At 39.4% G+C, this 18,086-nt stretch overlaps 1 long non-coding RNA gene, 1 pseudogene and 1 further gene across 1 annotated transcript in view; 1 reads left to right on the forward strand and 2 right to left on the reverse strand.

The window, feature by feature from the left end:
- IGH (immunoglobulin heavy locus) overlaps positions 1-18,086 on the reverse strand; it is a 1,293,408-nt gene that overhangs the window by 836,040 nt on the left and 439,282 nt on the right.
- Positions 1-18,086, forward strand: part of LOC124903400 (uncharacterized) — a 45,163-nt gene that overhangs the window by 20,952 nt on the left and 6,125 nt on the right. The window lies entirely within an intron of this gene.
- On the reverse strand, positions 2,883-3,085 carry IGHV7-40 (immunoglobulin heavy variable 7-40 (pseudogene); annotated as a pseudogene). Its single transcript is given in 1 exon segment — positions 2,883-3,085. A coding segment is annotated over 1 exon segment (203 nt).

The raw sequence follows: 18,086 nt of genomic DNA on the forward strand, positions 1-18,086 counted from the left end.
TTTTGGAATAGGGTCAGTACTGTTCAACCCTTAAAGATTCATATAAAACCAACCACACACCCAGGCCATCTAAATAGTCATTTACCCTTTCAGACACATTGAAACAACAGCTGAATGTAATAATGACAGTGACTTCAAACAATACTGGATCCATCCAATGTTTATTGTAGTTCAGAACATCCACCATGGTTACAGGGAAGCTCACTGTCCCTGGAAGTGGGTCATTTTTTAAAAGCACCTGAGAGCTGTCCTTCTGTGTCCTTTTGAAATTTGGGATTCTGTCTGAGATCGTAGGAGAAGGTAGTGGGACATATCTCCATCCTTCTCAATGTGTGACCTTGAAGATGTGTCCTGGCCTCTAAACACTTCTGATTGAAAATATGTAGATTGGGGATTGCAGTGAGAACTTCAGACAAAAACTCCGTAACAGGTCAGCACTGGAGGATAGTCTCATGAAGATCATGAAGATTAGTGCGATTACCTTTCCTGGGAACCAGAGAGGAACTCTGTGACCCCTTCCCTCTGACAGCACAAGGAACTCTGATCCTTCCCTGACAGGACACACTTGTGAAACATGGCTGGACAATGATACTCAAGCCCAGAGTCCTTACCCACATATTTATCATTTCAGATCCATCTGTCTCTGAAAGATTTTCTCCTCCATTGAATTGCATGAACATACCCTAGGATGTGCGGTATTGCAACTTGGGCATTTGACATTAGTTTGCTGAATTATATAATAAATAATCTATCTCCATGGATGTGGGTAACAGGAGAGTCATCAGAAGTTTGATGTGTTTTAAAATCAGGACAAACCTGGGCTTTCTTGTTAGGACGTGAACAACTGGGCTGACCTGTGGGACAACAGAGGGAAAGAGACAGACCCCACACCAGAGCCAGGTGAACTCCTTACCTACTGGATGGTCTCTGGGCATTTTGTTTGAACAGATTGAGAAGGACCTTCCTCACTCTCAGAATTATGAACATTGAAGGAATTTGAGATAAATTTTTATTTACAGAGAACAATTCATAGGCTTGTAGACATCTATGTGGGTGTGTACAGGGTTGCTAAGACATGCTCATACACAGAACAGAAAGAATTATATTTTGTGGAAAGAAAAACAAAGAGGTTCTGAATTTGTAGGTATTGTTTGCACAATGTGTCAGATCACTAGATCATGTTATGATGCTGGAGGTAAAACTTCCCAACATTGTCAAGGAGACAAAATGCAAAAGAGTAAAGATTCAAGTGAGATTGCTCTGAAAAATATCAGTAATGAACAGGCCAAAAGAAATGAACCATTATGGAAAGAGAGGTAATGAAATGAAACAATAAATTCCATGTTGAGGTGACAGGGAAGTTCCATCTGAAAGCTCATTTTCACCTCTGCGGGTACTGAGTGCCCCCTGCCACCCAGCTCCCACCCTGAAGGGAGGTTTCTGTCTGAGCTCTGTGAGTGAGCTGGAGTCATTGTGAGCCATTTAGAAAAGCAGCTGTGTGCCAGGGTGTATGGAGTCCTCCTGAGTTAAGAGGTGCTGAATATATATCAGTTTCACTGCCGTCATTGTGTTTTATTCTCTGGACTCTCTTGATGTCCAGATTTGAACACATGGAGCATTGAAGGAACTCATCGTGACTGGGAACTTTTCAGTGAAGATGCAGGTAACATGTGGGTGTGATTAAATTTGGGTGGTGAAAATATTATTATCAAAAATTTCGAAGTCAGTACCTACTAATTTTTCTTTTTTAGATTTTACAGATGAAGACTTGCTTGGTTGTGCAGGCTGGAGTGCAGTGTCATCTATTAATTTTATAGCATAAAAATGATCAGCCCAATTTATGTAGTCATGTTATATCCATCAAGGATTTAGGTCCATGTGGCCTGTGACATAGCTCTAGTCACAGAGTGAAGAGAGGTGGTTTGTTGAGTTGATGCTGCTTCTTCAGAGGGGAATTTAAACAATCAACTCCTCACCTTACCCAGTCTATTTTCATATCTATGCATAACCCTTGGGAATGCAGTCACCATTTCTTACATAATGGGAGTTGACTGTGCTGTGAAGGTAACAAGAAGACATGTAAATTTCCAGTCTGGGTACATGAACTGCTGAATTACAAAGCCTGGAGCCAATCACATTCTGGCATCTTGTTTAATTAGTTGTGAATTTGTTTTCAGTTGTTTAGTTCAAGTTCCCATAATTCACTTTCTGCTAAAATAGTCATATACGATAATCTTGAGATATTACATTGAAAAAAATAACTAATTTGAAAATGAACCCAGCTTCCAGGAGAGGTGAAAATTCCTTTGTGGCGAAGGGTGTGAAGGGTGGAGACATGGCTGAATACCGAGGTTGTGTTCACAATTGTTTCATTTTAATTAGGGGAAGCTCTATACATCCTTTCTATTTATTAGAAACTCCCATTGAGAACCTTGAACTAACATAATTTGCTGATGGATTACACAAAAACAATGAAGCTGAAGGTTTTTAAGCAGGAATTGCTATTACAACATTAGCTTTCCTTTATAACGCGTTCCTCTACCTGATGTGAAATTAGCCCAGGTGCACTGATGAGAGCTTGTCAGTTAAGCAAAGACCAGGAAATGGGCTCACATGTATCTAGAACAGGGCATGGATTTGGGATGCTTTGCTAACAAAGTGGCTTCTCACGTCTTCTGGAAAACCCATCAAAATGGGCAAGTTAAGGATCTCTTAGGAGCACCTGTCTACCCCAAGTTCTTAGCTAATATAAAAGTAGAAGATGATGCAAAATGAGATCATATGGAAGTTAAAGAAACTGCTGCACCACTGCCTCAGCTCAGCACAGCTGCCTCCTCCCTCGGGGTTTCTGACTCCCTCGGGATGTGGGTTTCCACACTGTGTCTCTCATACAGTCATACACGGCCGTGTCCTCAGCCTTTAGGCTGCTGATCTGCAGATACGCCATGCTGACAGAGGTGTCCATGGAGAATAGAAACCGTCCTGTGAAGCCGTTGGTATATGTTGGGTTCCCAGTGTAGGTGATGATCCATCCCATCCACTCAAGCCCTTGTCCAGGGGCTGGTCACACTGAATTCATACCATACTGGCTGCATAGTATTCCATGATTTACATATATCATATTTTATCTAATCATCCACTGATTGACACTTAGATTATTTGACTTTTCTATTGAAAATGGTGTTGAAATAAACATATGAGTGCAGGCAACATTCTCTGATATAAAAGTTTGGGAGGAACATGCCTACTGGGACAGCTTACTGGAAGAAATGGTAATTCTAATTTTAGTTCTTTGAGAAATTTCTATGTTGTTTTTCATGGAGGTTGTACTAATTTACATTCTCACCAAGCATATATAAATCATTATTTTTCCTATGTTTGTCTGCAAAACCTGCTGTTTTTATTTGTAATAACAGCCATTCTGACTGGTGGAAGATGCCGTATCATGTTGTTTCTAATTTACATTTATCAGATGATTGGTGATGCTGAGTATATTTTCTTATTTGTGTTGGCCACTTCTGTGTATTCTTTTGATAAATGTCTGTTTATGTCTATTCTTTAATGAAGTTATTTGTAATTTTTAGTTGACTTATTTGAGTTACTTGTAGATTCTATATATTAGCCCTTTGCAAGATGAATAGATTCCAGATATTTTTTCCATTTGCAGATTGTCTGGTCACCATGTTGGTTATTTCTTTTGCTGTGCAGAAGACCTTTAGTTCAACTAAATCCTGTTTGTCTACTTCTGTTTTTATTGCATTTGCTTTTGAAGTCTTAGTCGTATATTGTTTGCTTAGACCAATGTCCAGAGGACTCTTTTTAGATTTTATTCAAGTATTTTTATAGTTTTAGTTTATAAATTTAAACACTGAATCCATATTCAGTTAATTTGTGTCTACGGTGATATGGAAGTCTCGTTCTATTCTTCCACATAAGCCACCTAATTTTCCCGGCACCACTTATTGAATAGAGGGTTGTTTCTCCAGTGTATATTTTTGTCAGTTTTGTCAAACAACAGTTGGTTTTAGATATTTGGCTTTCTTTCTGGGCTATTTTTTTCTACTAGTAGCATGCTGTCTTTCTTATTATATTCATGTAGTATAATTTGAGGTCAGAGAATGTGGTGCTTCCAGCTTCGGTCTTTTTGCTTAGGATTGCTTTTGCTATTCAGACTCTTTTTTGATTCTGTAGGAATTTTAGTATTTTTTTCTAAATATGTAATCAATTATATTGGTCATTTGATAAAAATAGAGTTGAATCTGTGTAATGCTTTGGACGGTGTGTTAGTCTCTTTTGCATTCCTATAAATTAATACCTGAGGCCAAGTGATTTACAAAGAAAAGAGGCACATTTGGCTTACAGTTCTGAAGGCTGTGTGAGAAGCATGGCACCAGGATCTGCTTTACAATCATGATGGAAGGCAAAGGGGGAACAGGCTATGTCACATGGTGAGAGCTGGGACATGAGTGGCAAGAAGGGTTGCCAGACTCTTTTTAACAATCAGATCTCATAGTAGCTAACACAGCAAGAATTCACTAAGTGCCATGGGGTGGTTCCCAAGCCATTCCTGAAGGATCTTTCCCCATGACCCAAAACCTCCCAGTCGGTCCCACCTCCAACATTGAGAATCACATTTCACCATGACATTTGGAAGGGAAAACATCTAAACTATATCATTGCACTCTCGAGCCCAAAATTCTCATGTCCTTGCATTGCAAAATATGATCATCTTTTTTCAGTAGGGAAGCAAGAGCAAACATTCAAAAGCTAGCAGAAGGCAAGAAATAACTAAGATCAGAGCAGAACTGAAGGAAATAGAGACACAAAAAACCCTTCAAAAAATCAGTGAATCCAGGAGCTGGTTTTTTGAAAAGACCAACAAAATTGATAGACCACTAGCAAGACTAATAAAGAAGAAAAGAGAGAAGAATCAAATAGATGCAATAAAAAATGATAAAGGGGGTATCACCACCGATCCCAGAGAAATACAAACTACCATCAGAGAATACTATAAACACCTCTACGCAAATAAACTAGAAAATCTAGAAGATATGGATAAATTCCTGGACACATATACTCTCCCAAGACTAAACCAGGAAGAAGCTGAATCTCTGAATAGACCAATAACAGGCTCTGAAATTGGGGCAATAATTAATAGCTTACCAAACCAAAAAAGTCCAGGACCAGACGGATTCACAGCTGAATTCTACCAGAGGTACAAGGAGGAGTTGGTACCATTCCTTCTGAAACTATTCCAATCAATAGAAAAAGAGGGAATCCTCCCTAACTCATTTTATGAGGCCAGCATCATCCTGATACCAAAGCCTGGCAGAGACAAAACAAAAAAAGAGAATTTTAGACCAATATCCTTGATGAACATCGATGCAAAAATCCTCAATAAAATACTGGCAAACCGAATCCAGCAGCACATCAAAAAGCTTATCCACCACGATCAAGTGGGCTTCATCCCTGGGATGCAAGGCTGGTTCAACATACGAAAATCAATAAATGTAATCCAGCATATAAACAGAACCAAAGACAAAAACCACATGATTATCTCAATACATGCAGAAAACGCCTTTGACAAAATTCAACAACACTTCATGCTAAAAACTCTCAATAAATTAGGTATTGATGGGATGTATCTCAACATAATAAGAGCTGTCTATGACAAAGCCACAGCCAATATCATACTGAATGGACAAAAACTGGAAGTATTCCCTTTGAAAACTGGCACAAGACAGGGATGCCCTCTCTCACCACTCCTATTCAACATAGTGTTGGAAGTTCTGGCCAGGGCAATCAGGCAGGAGAAGGAAATAAAGGATATTTAATTAGGAAAAGAGGAAGTCAAATTGTTCCTGTTTGGAGATGACATGATTGTATATCTAGAAAACCCCATTATCTCAGCCCAAAATCTCCTTAAGCTGATAAGCAACTTCAGCAAAGTCTCGGGATACAAAATCAATATGCAAAAATCACAAGCGTTCTTATACACCAATAACAGACAAACAGAGAGCCAAATCATGAGTGAACTCCCATTCACAATTGCTTCAAAGAGAATAAAATACCTAGGAATCCAATTTACAAGGGATGTGAAGGATCTCTTCAAGGAGAACTACAAACGACTGCTCAATGAAATTAAAGAGGATACAAACAAATGGAAGAACATTGCATGCTCGTGGGTAGGAAGAATCAATATCGTGAAAATGGCCATACTGCCCAAGGTAATTTACAGATTCAATGCCATCCCCATCAAGCTACCAATGGCTTTCTTCACAGAATTGGAAAAAACTACTTTAAAGTTCGTATGGAACCAAAAAAGAGCCTGCATTGCCAAGTCAATCCTAAGCCAAAAGAACAAAGCTGGAGGCATCATGCTACCTGACTTCAAACTATACTACAAGGCTACAGTAACCAAAACAGCATGGTACTGGTACCAAAACAGAGATATAGACCAATGGAACAGAACAGAACCCTCAGAAATAATGCCGCATATCTATAACTATCTGATCTTTGACAAACCTGACAAAAACAAGCAATGGGGAAAGGATTCCCTATTTAATAAATGGTGCTGGGAAAACTGGCTAGCCATATGTAGAAAGGTGAAACTGGATCCCTTCCTTACACCTTATACAAAAATTAATTCAAGATGGATTAAAGACTTAAATGTTAGACCTAAAACCATAAAAACCCTAGAAGAAAACCTAGGCAATACCATTCAGGACATAGGCATGGGCAAGGACTTCATGTCTAAAACACCAAAAGCAATGGCAACAAAAGCGAAAATTGACAAATGGGATCTAATTAAACTAAAGAGCTTCTGCAGAGTGAAAGAAATTACCATCAGAGTGAACAGGCAACCTACAGAATGGGACAAAATTTTTGCAACCTACTCATCTGACAAATGGCTAATATCCAGAATCTACAATGAACTCAAACAAATTTACAAGAAAAAAACAAATAACCCCATCAAAAAGTGGGCAAAGGACATGAACAGACACTTCTCAAAAGAAGACATTTATGCAGCCAAAAGACGCATGAAAAAATGCTCATCATCACTGGCCATCAGAGAAATGCAAATCAAAACGACAATGAGATACCATCTCACACCAGTTAGAATGGCGATCATTAAAAAGTCAGGAAGCAACAGGTGCTGGAGAGGATGTGGAGAAATAGGAACACTTTTACACTGTTGGTGGGACTGTAAACTAGTTCAACCATTGTGGAAGGGAGTGTGGCGATTCCTCAGGGATCTAGAACTAGAAATACCATTTGACCCAGCCATCCCATTACTGGGTATATACCCAAAGGATTATAAATCATGCTGCTATAAAGACACATGCACACGTATGTTTATTGTGGCACTATTCACAATAGCAAAGACTTGGAACCAACCCAAATGTCAAACAATGATAGACTGGATTGAGAAAATGTGGCACATATACACCATGGAATACTATGCAGCCATAAAAAATGATGAGTTCATGTCATTTCTAGGGACATGGATGAAGCTGGAAACCATCATTCTCAGCAAACTATCGCAAGGACAACAAACCAAACACCGCGTGTTCTCACTCATAGGTGGGAATTGAACAATGAGAACACATGGACACAGGAATGGGAACATCACACACCAGGGACTGTTGTGGGGTGGGGGGATGGGGGAGGGATAGCATTAAGAGATATACCTAATGCTAAATGATGAGTTAATGGGTGCAGCACACCAACATGGCACATGTATAAATATGTAACAAACCTGCACATTGTGCACATGTACCCTAAAACTTAAAGTATAATAATACTAAAATAACAAAAAGTCTTAACTTGGTCAGCCTCCAACTCAAATGTCTAAAGTCTCATCTGAGTCTTAAGGCAATTTCCCTCCATCTGTGAGCTTGCAAAATTAAAAAAAAAAAACATTGCAAATGTTGTGTATTCCAAGGTACAATTATGGTACAGGCATTGGGTAAATTATTCCAATCCAAAATAGATAAATTGGCCAAAGGAATGGCCAACAGCGCTCCCCCCCCCCACACACACATATAACCCAGTAGAGCAGATATTAAATCTTAAAGTTACAGAATAACCTCTCTCAAATTTATGTAATTCAACCAGGGCACAGTGGGACAAGTGTTGGCTCCCCAAAACCTCCGGCAGCCCATCACTGTAGTTTTGCTGGGCGCAGTCCTTGGGGCTCCATTCATGAGTCAGAGTCAAGTGCTGTAAGCTTTTCTAGGCTGAGGGTGCAAGTTGCCCATGGATCTACCATTCTGCAGTCTTGAGATCTGTGGCCACATTCCCACAGTTCCACTATGTAGTGCCCCAGTGTGGACTTTGAATGGGGGCTCCAACCCCATCTTTCCACATCTTTGGCACTGCCCTAGTAGAGGCTCTCTGTGGTGGCTCCACTCCTGCAGCAAGCTTTTTCCTGGGCACATAGGGCTCTCTGCACATCTGAAATCAAGGTAGAAACTGCCCAGCCTCCTTCACTGTTGCATTCTGCATATCTGCCCGAATCCAGGTCTCCCAGCACTATTTACTGAATACGGAGTTTTTTTTTTTAATCTATGGCTTGATTCTTGTCAACCTTATCAAATATCAAATGGTTTAGGTGTGTAGCTCTATTTCTGTTTTCTGTTTTGTTCTTTTTTTTTTTCTGTGTGTCTGCTCTTGCACCAGTACCAAGCTGTTTTTCTTACTTTGTAATGTTAAATCTGGTAGCATGATGCCTCTGGCATTGATCTTTTTGTTTAGGATTGCTTTGGCTATTCAGGGTCTTTCTTGGTTCCATATATATTTTAGAATATGTATGGGTTTTTTAATTCTGTGAAGAATGATGGTAATAATTTGATGGAAATAACATCGAATCTGCAAATTACTTTGGGCAGTATGACCATTTTGGCAATATTGATTCCTCCAATCCAGGAGCATGAAATGTTTTTTTCCATTTATTTGTGTCATTTATGATTTATTTCTGCAGTGTTTTGTTGTTCTCCTTGCAGAGATCTTTCATCTTGTTTGTTACCTGCATTCCTAAGCATGTCATTTTCTTTGAAGATATTGTACATGGGATAGGACTGTGTTCTTGATTTTATTCTCAGCATGGATGTGGTTGGGATATAGAAATGCTGGTGATTTTTGTACATTGATTTTGCATCCTTACACTTTACTAAAGTTATTTATCTATTCTAGAATTACTTTGGGGGATTTTCTAGGCATAGAATTGTATCATCAGTGAAGACAGATGGATTGACTTATTTTCCTGTTTGGATGCTGTGTTAGTCCATTCTCAGACTATAAACACCTGAGACTAGGTAATTTATAAAGAAAAGAGTTTTAATTGCTCATGGTTCTGCGAGTTGTACAGGAAGCATGGCTGGGGAGGCATCAGGATCCTGACAATCATGACAGAAAGGGAAGCATCATGTCTTACATGGCAGGAGCAGGAGGAAGAGACAAGGGGGAGGTGCCACACACTTAGAAACCAGATCTCCTGAGAGCTCTGTCACCAGAACAGCGTGAGAGAGGAAAACACAACCCCATGATCGAATCACCTTTCACCAGGCCCCACCTCCAACACTGGGGATTACAGTTTGACATGAGATTTGGGTGGGGACACAAATCAAAACCACATCAGCTGCCTTTCATTTTTGCTCCTGCCTGATTGTTCTAACTAGGATTTATAGTGTTATATTGAATAGGAGTAGTGAGAGACAGTATCCTTCTCTTGTTCCAGTTCTCAAGGTGTTTGAGCTTTTGCTCATTTAGCATGATGTTTACTGAGTTTGTCACAGATGGCTCTTATTATTTTGAGGTATGTTTTGATGCCTAGTCTGTTGAAGGTTTTTATGACGAGTGGATGTTGGATCCTATCAAATGCTTTTGCAGGATCTATTGAGATAATCCTATGTTTTTTGCTTTTATTCTGCTCACATGGCGAATCACAGTTACTGATTTGTGGATGTTGAATGAACCTTGCATCCCAGGGTAAATCCCATTTGATCATGATGTATTACATTTTAAAGTGCTTCTGGATTCTATTTGCTAGTATTTTGTTGAGGACTTTTAGATCTATGTTCATCAGGAATATTCATCTTATATACTTTTTTCATTATGTCTCTTCCTGATGGAGTGTGCCAAGAACACACAGTAGAGAAAGGACAGTCTTTTCAATAATGGTGTAAAAACTGGGCATCCATATAAAAAGAAATAAAATTAGGCCTCCTCTAACATGATATAAAAATCAACTAAAAATGAACATAATACCTGAAACCATAAACTCATAGACAACATGGAAAAAGAAAAAACTTCCTGTCATTGATTCAGAACTGATTTATTTGAATTTAATACCAAAACACAGGAAAAACTATGTGTAATTATATATCTGACAAGAAGTTCAAATAAAATATATAAATAAGCCATACAACTCAATAACAAATAACAAGTGACCCGATTAAAAAAGGCAAAATTCTGGATAGATTTTTTTTTCAGAAGACACACACATGGCAAACGGAAAATGAAAAGTTTATCAATATTCCTAATTATCAGGGGAATTCAAATAAAAAGCACAATGATATATCACTTCAAAGCAGTTAAAATGGCTATTATCAGCAAGACAAAACTTTAAAAATGTTGGCAACAATGTGGAGAAAAAGGAATCCTTATATGATGTGGTAGGATTGGTTACTTAACAAATTGAAAATAAAACTATCTTATGATCTAGTGATTCCACTTCTTGTTATATATTAAAAGGAAATAAAATTATTATGCAAAAGACATGTTCATTGCAAGATTATTAATAATAGTGTAGATTTGTAAAATAATTTAAGGGTCATACATTGATAAATGTATAAATAAAATGTGTATACATAAAACTAAATTTATGACGCTTTGAAAAGAAGGAAATTCTGACATTTGCAATAACATGGATGGGCCTAGAGGACATGATGCTGAGTGGAATAAGCCAGATGCAGAAAGACAAATGCTTCATGATCTCATTTACGTGTGGGATCTAAAATATCCAAGGTCTTAAAAGAAGAGAGTAGACTAGAGGGTGTCAGGACCTGGGAGGAGAGGGAATTTGGGTGATGTTGATCAAAGGGTACAGAGTTTCAGTTGTGCAGGGTGAATGAGTTCTGGAAATCTAATGTACAGCAATGTTCCTATAGTTAATACTTTACTGTAAAAACGATTTTTGCTAAAAGGGTAGATTTTAGATGTTCTCATCAGACACACACACATATGCAGTAAATTTAAAAAAATAAAATTGTAGCTCTGTGAGATGATATACACACAAATTACCTTGACTACGATGATCATTTTACAATGTGTATCTGATATGGTTTGGATCCGTATCTTGACCCAAATCTCATGTTATATTATAATCCTCATTCCTGAAAGTAGGACCTGTTGGGAGATGACTGGGTCATGGGGTAGGTCTTTCATGAATGGTTTAGCAACAACTCCTGCTGCTGTTCTCATGACAGTGCATGAGTTCTCACAAGATCTGGTGTCTAACGGTGTGTAGACCCGCCCCGCCCCCCGCTGCACGCCTCCTGTGGCTCCTGCTCTGGCCATGTGATTGCCCTGCTCCTCTTTGTCTTCTGCCATGATTCTAACTTTCCTGAGTCTCCCCAGAAGAATAAACAACTACATTTCCTATAGAGCCTGCAGAATCATGAGCCAATTAAACATCTTTTTCTTTTTTTCAAATTAGTCTCAGGCATTTCTTTATAGCAATGTGAGAATGGCCTAAGACAAAGCATCAAGTGGTGCATTGTTCCTCAACCATATACTTTTAAAAAATTTTTTCAAATATACCTCAATGAAACTGAAAAAAGTTAAAATTACTCTTACAAGAAAGAAATGCATACGTCATGTTTTCACAATAAAAATGAGACAACATAGGAAAACTTACACTAAGGTATTTGTAACAGCTTTGCTTATAATATTCATAAACTAGAAACAAATTTAAAGTCCATCAACAAAAAATAGATCAATATGTTGTTATGTATGGGATGTCAATGTCACTTTATTACATTCTTTATTCTTTTAAGTTATCTCTAAAATCTCTAAAAATTAATTTTTCCAAAGCACCACTCAAAACCAGGGTATTATTAGAACTTGTGGGTGTAATCGTTGGACCAATATTAAGAATAAATTCAATTTAGTTCACATGCTGTCAAATATCCTTTTTTCTTTAAAACTTGTTCACATTGTAATATCAGACAAATATTAGTAATCTATACTTATGACACAGGTTAAAAAATTGTTTAAATAGTTTAATGACATTTGATTGGAAAAAAGAATACACATTCCACATATGTCTTGACTACCTTTTTCTTCTCTATGAAATATATGCTTATTAATTTTTAAGTTACGGATGTTACCCTTATCTTTTTATTTTCCAGAAGTTAATTTCAGTAGGTATATTTGAATGCATTTTATTAATTCATATAATAATGTTCATTACTGAATGTTTTGGATAGGCATGTAATGTCATTTTTATTATGTTCTGAATTTTAAATTATTTTATACATTATTTTTTGTTTTTATGAGAAAATTTACATATAAGAGGAAATGCATAGATCTGGAATTTGTCACTAGAGAGTTTCTGGCAAACGTGAATACTCTTGTCCCCGGCACCTAAGGTAGACCGAAGAGCAAGTCCATCCCCCAACACAGGTCTTCCTGTGCCTGTGGTCAGCTCCTGCGTGCGGAAATGTTTAGATTTCTGACAATACAGATCCATGTTTTTCTCTTTTGAACTTCTCATAAGTGGAATCTAACATTATAGAGCTGTTTTTGGTAAGGGGCTACTTTTGCTATTGTTGAGGTTTCTTCATGCTATTTAACGTATACAATTAGATCAACCTATTGTCATACATTCAATGAATGGACTGATTCAACTGAAACCTCAAAGTCGTTATGTATATATGTAGAGAGAGAGGAAGGACAGAAATTTTATATCTGAGTTAGTCCATTAAGAATTTATTCTTAATATTGGTCCAACGATTACACCCACAAGTTCTAATAATACACTGGTTTTGAGTGGTGCTTTGGAAAGATTAATTTTTAGAGATTTTAGAGATAACTTAAAAGAATAAAGACTGTAATAAAGTGGCATTGACATCCCATATCAGAAAGCAATTGAAAATAAGTAATACATATAAATTCCTGAGAATAAACCTCGAACTACAGGAAGGGTATCATGTATAGTAGGTTGTAATATGTTTATTGTTAAAATTATCACCTTTATGTTGTTTTGAAAAATTAAAGGTAAGCATAAGAAAATAAAGTGCTTTTGTGTTTATTTGGGGCAACAACAGCATGTTGAGAAAACTGAAGAGCCCTGTAATCCTGAGGAGGTGGCCTAATCTAAGGAGAGAGAGGCTCCAGATCCTGTGGACACACAGGGTTAAACCGATTCTGCCCATCTAGGAGCTACTTCCTAAAGCCTATTTTTTTTTTTTTTAATGAGACAGAGTCTTGTTCTGTCGCCCAGGCTGGAGTGCAGTGGAACGATCTCGGCTCACTGCAACCTCCGCCTCCCGGGTTCAAGCGATTCTACTGCCATAGCCTCGGAGTAGCTGGAACTGTAGGCACCCGCCACCACGCCTGGCTAATTTTTTGTATTTTTAGTAGAGACAGGGTTTCACCGTGTTAGCCAGGATGGTCTCGATCTCCTGATCTCGTGATCCGCCCGCCTCGACCTCCCAAAATGCTGGGATTACAGGCGTGAGCCACCGCGCCCGGCGGAGAGGAGATTTCTACTCTGGAAAGGAGTGAGTGGACGGCACAACTGGTTTGGAAACACGACAAACTGCGTCTGCATTTACAGAAGCAACGCACACAGGGAACGTCCTAGCGCCATCTGGTCTCGCACACATGCTTGGGACTCACGGTGGGGATCCCGGGCCTCCACCAGCCCTAGTTGTCGGTGCCCAGCTTGGGAGGCCTGGGCGAGAGTCATTCAGGTCGTGGATCTTCCCGTCCAGCTCCTCCAGGAAGCTCTTCACCTCCACCTCCAGGTGGCGCTGTCGAGATTTATTCTCCTCAGTGTCTGTCTTTAGGGAACTGTAGGTTCCTCCAGGTTCTGGAAAATCTCATTTCCTACAGGATTTTTTTTTTTTAGAAGGCTCTTGGTACATTTCTCGGTAATTAATCCTCCCCAATTCAGACCCATAAAAAAATTATTTGGATTGTATACCTGAGAATCTGGAAGATTTTGAAGGAAAGTTCAGAAGACTACGGAGTGTAGGTCCCCAGGAATCTCACCCTAGTCCACATCTGCCGTTTAGGCTTTCATAGCATTTACCATGTGTGTGCTCTCACCAACTCGTGCTTTCTTCAAGTTCTTTTCCAGTTCAGCCAGTGTCACCTCTGATCCTGGACATGTCTGTATCTTCAGTATTTGGAATGGGTAATTTCCCTTGCAATTTCAATTCCTTGATAGATTTCAAAAATTGTTGATGTTCAAATTGTGCAGATGTTTTTTGACATAAGAATGAGCTTGATGACTTTCCTAATCTTTACATGTTAGAGCATGTAAAGGTGATCTGATGTGTGTATCCTGAATGCTATGTGTGATGTTATGTATGTAAAAGTTATGTAAAGCTTATGATGTAAAGGTTATGTATCAGATGATATCATGGTCTTACAGGTGTCCCTAGCCCTGGACTGGAGCCAGCGGGAGAACCTGGGCCTTTGCACCTGTGACAGGAACTCTCATTCCTTAAACACAAGGCATTCTAATGAGAAAGCTGATATCAGGTGAGGTGCAAAGCAGTGGAGAGGAGATAGAGGTGCCCTTTAACTTCAAGAATTGCTGGAACTTGAATACCAAGATCATCTCTGAAAGGCAGTGGTCTACTGGTGAGGATATCAGTCAGCTCTGTCTTCAGGAATCTTTGTATGTGTGGAAAGCATCAGGGGTGTGATTTATTTTCTTCTGCTCATCCAGTGTATTTCAGAGAAAAATAAAATGCAAAGTAAGTAAGCATGTTCAATATACATGTTAAGAGAGAGAACATGTATAATTCATGGCAATAGAAGTGCTCACTTAATAGCTTGCAGAAGGAGCAGGTGCACAATTGACAGGAGGATGCTCCCTGCCCCAGGAAGCAGGTGCCTTAGAACTGCACTGTAGATGCCTTGCATCAGTAGAACCTGGGCGTGTGTCTGGGGTCTTGTAGGTAGTGTGGAGAGCAGAGCACAGCTCCATTTCTCCTCACTCTGTGACCTAGCATGTGGACCCTCCCTCTGGGCTTTATTCTAGTAAGGTGTTAATTTGATATAGCAGCAGTAGCTTTACCTGCAACCTTTCAAGGAAGGGCCAGTGCTGTTCAGAGTCGTTATTACTGTTGTTGTTCCCACCCTTGTAAACCAGAAAAATACCTGTGTGACCCTCAACTCAGACCTCAGATGACCCTTTGCAGAGGAAGCACCTGCTTTGTTTCTGTCACAAACATGTTACTGGATACTGGATAAAATGTGTGACTTGTTATAGAATGTATCTTAATTATGTTACCTTAGTTAAAATTAGGATTAGTATATGACACTCTGGGAATTTAGCTGAAGATATTTCTTAGCAAAGTGTTGATGATGTGTCCTGATATCTCATTGCTTATAACAGTACAATATGAGAGGAGAAAAAAATTAAAGAGGAAATGTTGGGAACAGGCCCCCCAAAATCTGGCCATAAACTGGCCCCAAAACTGGCCACAAACAAAATATCTGCAGCACTGTGACATGTTCATGATGGCCATAATGCCCACGCTGGAAGGTTGTGGGTTTACCGGAATGAGGGCAAGGAACACCTGGCCCCCCCAGGGCAGAAAACCGCTTAAAGGCGTTCTTAAACCACAAACAATAGCATGAGTGATCTGTGCCTTAGGGCATGTTCCTGCTGCAGATAACTAGCCAGACCCACCCCCTTTAATTCGGTCCATCCCTTCATTTCCCATAAGGGATACTTTTAGTTAATTTAATATCTATAGAAACAATATTAATGGCTGGCTTGCTGTTAATAAATACGTGGGTAAATCTTTCTTCAGGGCTCTCAGCTCTGAAGGCTGTGAGACCCCTGATTTCCCACTTCACACCTCTATATTTCTGTGTGTGTCTTTAATTCCTCTAGCACCGCTGGGTTAGGGTCTCCCGACTGAGCTGGTCTCAGCAACGAAACTATTGAGCAATGTGTTACCAGGTATTTTATACACAAGGGAGGTTTTCTCATCTTCTGGAAACTCCAGTGAAATGAAAAATTCGAGAAAATGTAAGACGTATTTTTACATTCTAGACACACGAGTAATAGAAACTTGAATTTAAATGCAAAAATGCACAGCAAGGAAGTCAAAATTCTGCAGCAGATCATTTTACCTAGTAGGCAGCTTAAACTATTTATAATATGACTTAAATATTCAAGAGGTAAACTTCAGAGATATCCAAATAAATAATTACAAAATTTCAATGTTCAATGACTGGTTGAGAGAAGATTGAACTAACATTATTTTGATGCATCACACCTCAATAATCAAACTATGGCCAATTGTCCAAATGTTGCAAGAGGATGCCTGAGGAAATAATTTCTATCTCCCTTATTTAGGAGTGCTGGCACAACCCAACATCCCCGAAAACCTGGGGTCTACTAAGAATAAAGCCAGAAATTTGAATTAGCATGAAGGATTTAAAGGCCTCACTCACTGACTGGGCTGACTGGTGAAGATGTTCTCCATGAGGCTACACTGTGAACAGTGGGTATGGTCTCTGTTTGTTTGAATGAAAGATAATGAAGAAGGCAAAAGGATTCATGGATCAGGAACCACACTAAAAACTAAATTATGCACTTTAGGAGATTTACATATGAAAAACCTGAAAATGAATTATGCCGTTGCATTCTCTCATTTGTGTTTGATGTGAGACATATTTTCTTTTTTAGAAACCTATTTTAAATCATGGATTTTCATCTCCACTGTGATAGATGAAACTACTACTGCCCCTGGTGAGCCTCATTATTGAGTCTCTAATGTGCACTTGGCATGTGCGGAGAGTTGGGAAGAAGTGACCAGGGCTCTGACCATTGAAGCTGAAGTTCTATGAGAGAGTCTGTGAGAATGTAGACAATACAAGACAGAGGGCAATGTTGGGTGAATTTCTGAGGAATAGGGAAGAATAGCAGAATGAGGCAGGGATCAGGACACCATTCAGCTTGAATTTCTCTATGTGCATTCTCCTAGTGGAATCAGAGAGATACAGCTTAGGACACAGCCCCAGGGCAGCCTTCAGAGACTCTGCACAGAACACAGCCCAGCAAGGTAGCGACAAGTTTTATCTTTGTGTTTGTCTTCCTGCCTCCATCACAATAAATTCTGAGAGCTGCCTGCATTTCTCTTGGGTGAAAATGCTGTGCACCAATCACCATAGTGTGAATGAGAAGTGAGAGGTCAAAATTATTCTTGGAGGACAGGGAACTTTGTGAGACAGAGGTGAGAAAATGATTATAACAACACGGGGACACGTGTGCTTGTCAGAAGAAAGAGTCCACGTGGGGACATGTTTGCTTGTCTGAGAGAAGAGTCCATATGTAGACAAGTGTACTTCTCTGAGGGAAGGGTCACAGTGGAGACAATCATGCTTGTCTTAGTGAAGAATCCCTGTGGGAATATGTGTGCTTTCCATGCGGAAGAGTTCACATGGGAAAATGCGTGCTTGTCTAAGGGAAGAGTCTACAATGGAGAATGGGTGTTTCAGAGAAGAGTCCCTGTGGGAATATGTGTGCTTCCCATGCAGAAGAGTTCACATGGGAAAATGCGTGCTTGTCTAAGGGAAGAGTCTACAATGGAGAACGGGTGTTTGAGAGAAGAGTCCATGTGAGGACCTGTGGGCTTGTCTGAGAGTAGAGTCCACATGTGGACATGCAGACCTATCTGAGTGATGAGCCCGTGAGGAAATATGTGTGCTTGTTATACGGGAGTTCACATGGGAACATGTGTGCTTGTCATATGGAAGGGTTCATATGGGAACATCTGTGCTTGTCTAAGGGAAGAGTCTACCTGGGAATACGTGTGCTTGTCTGAGGGAAG

This window comes from Homo sapiens, chromosome 14 (assembly GCF_000001405.40).
Source record: "Homo sapiens chromosome 14, GRCh38.p14 Primary Assembly".
NCBI classification, from domain to species: domain Eukaryota; kingdom Metazoa; phylum Chordata; class Mammalia; order Primates; family Hominidae; genus Homo; species Homo sapiens.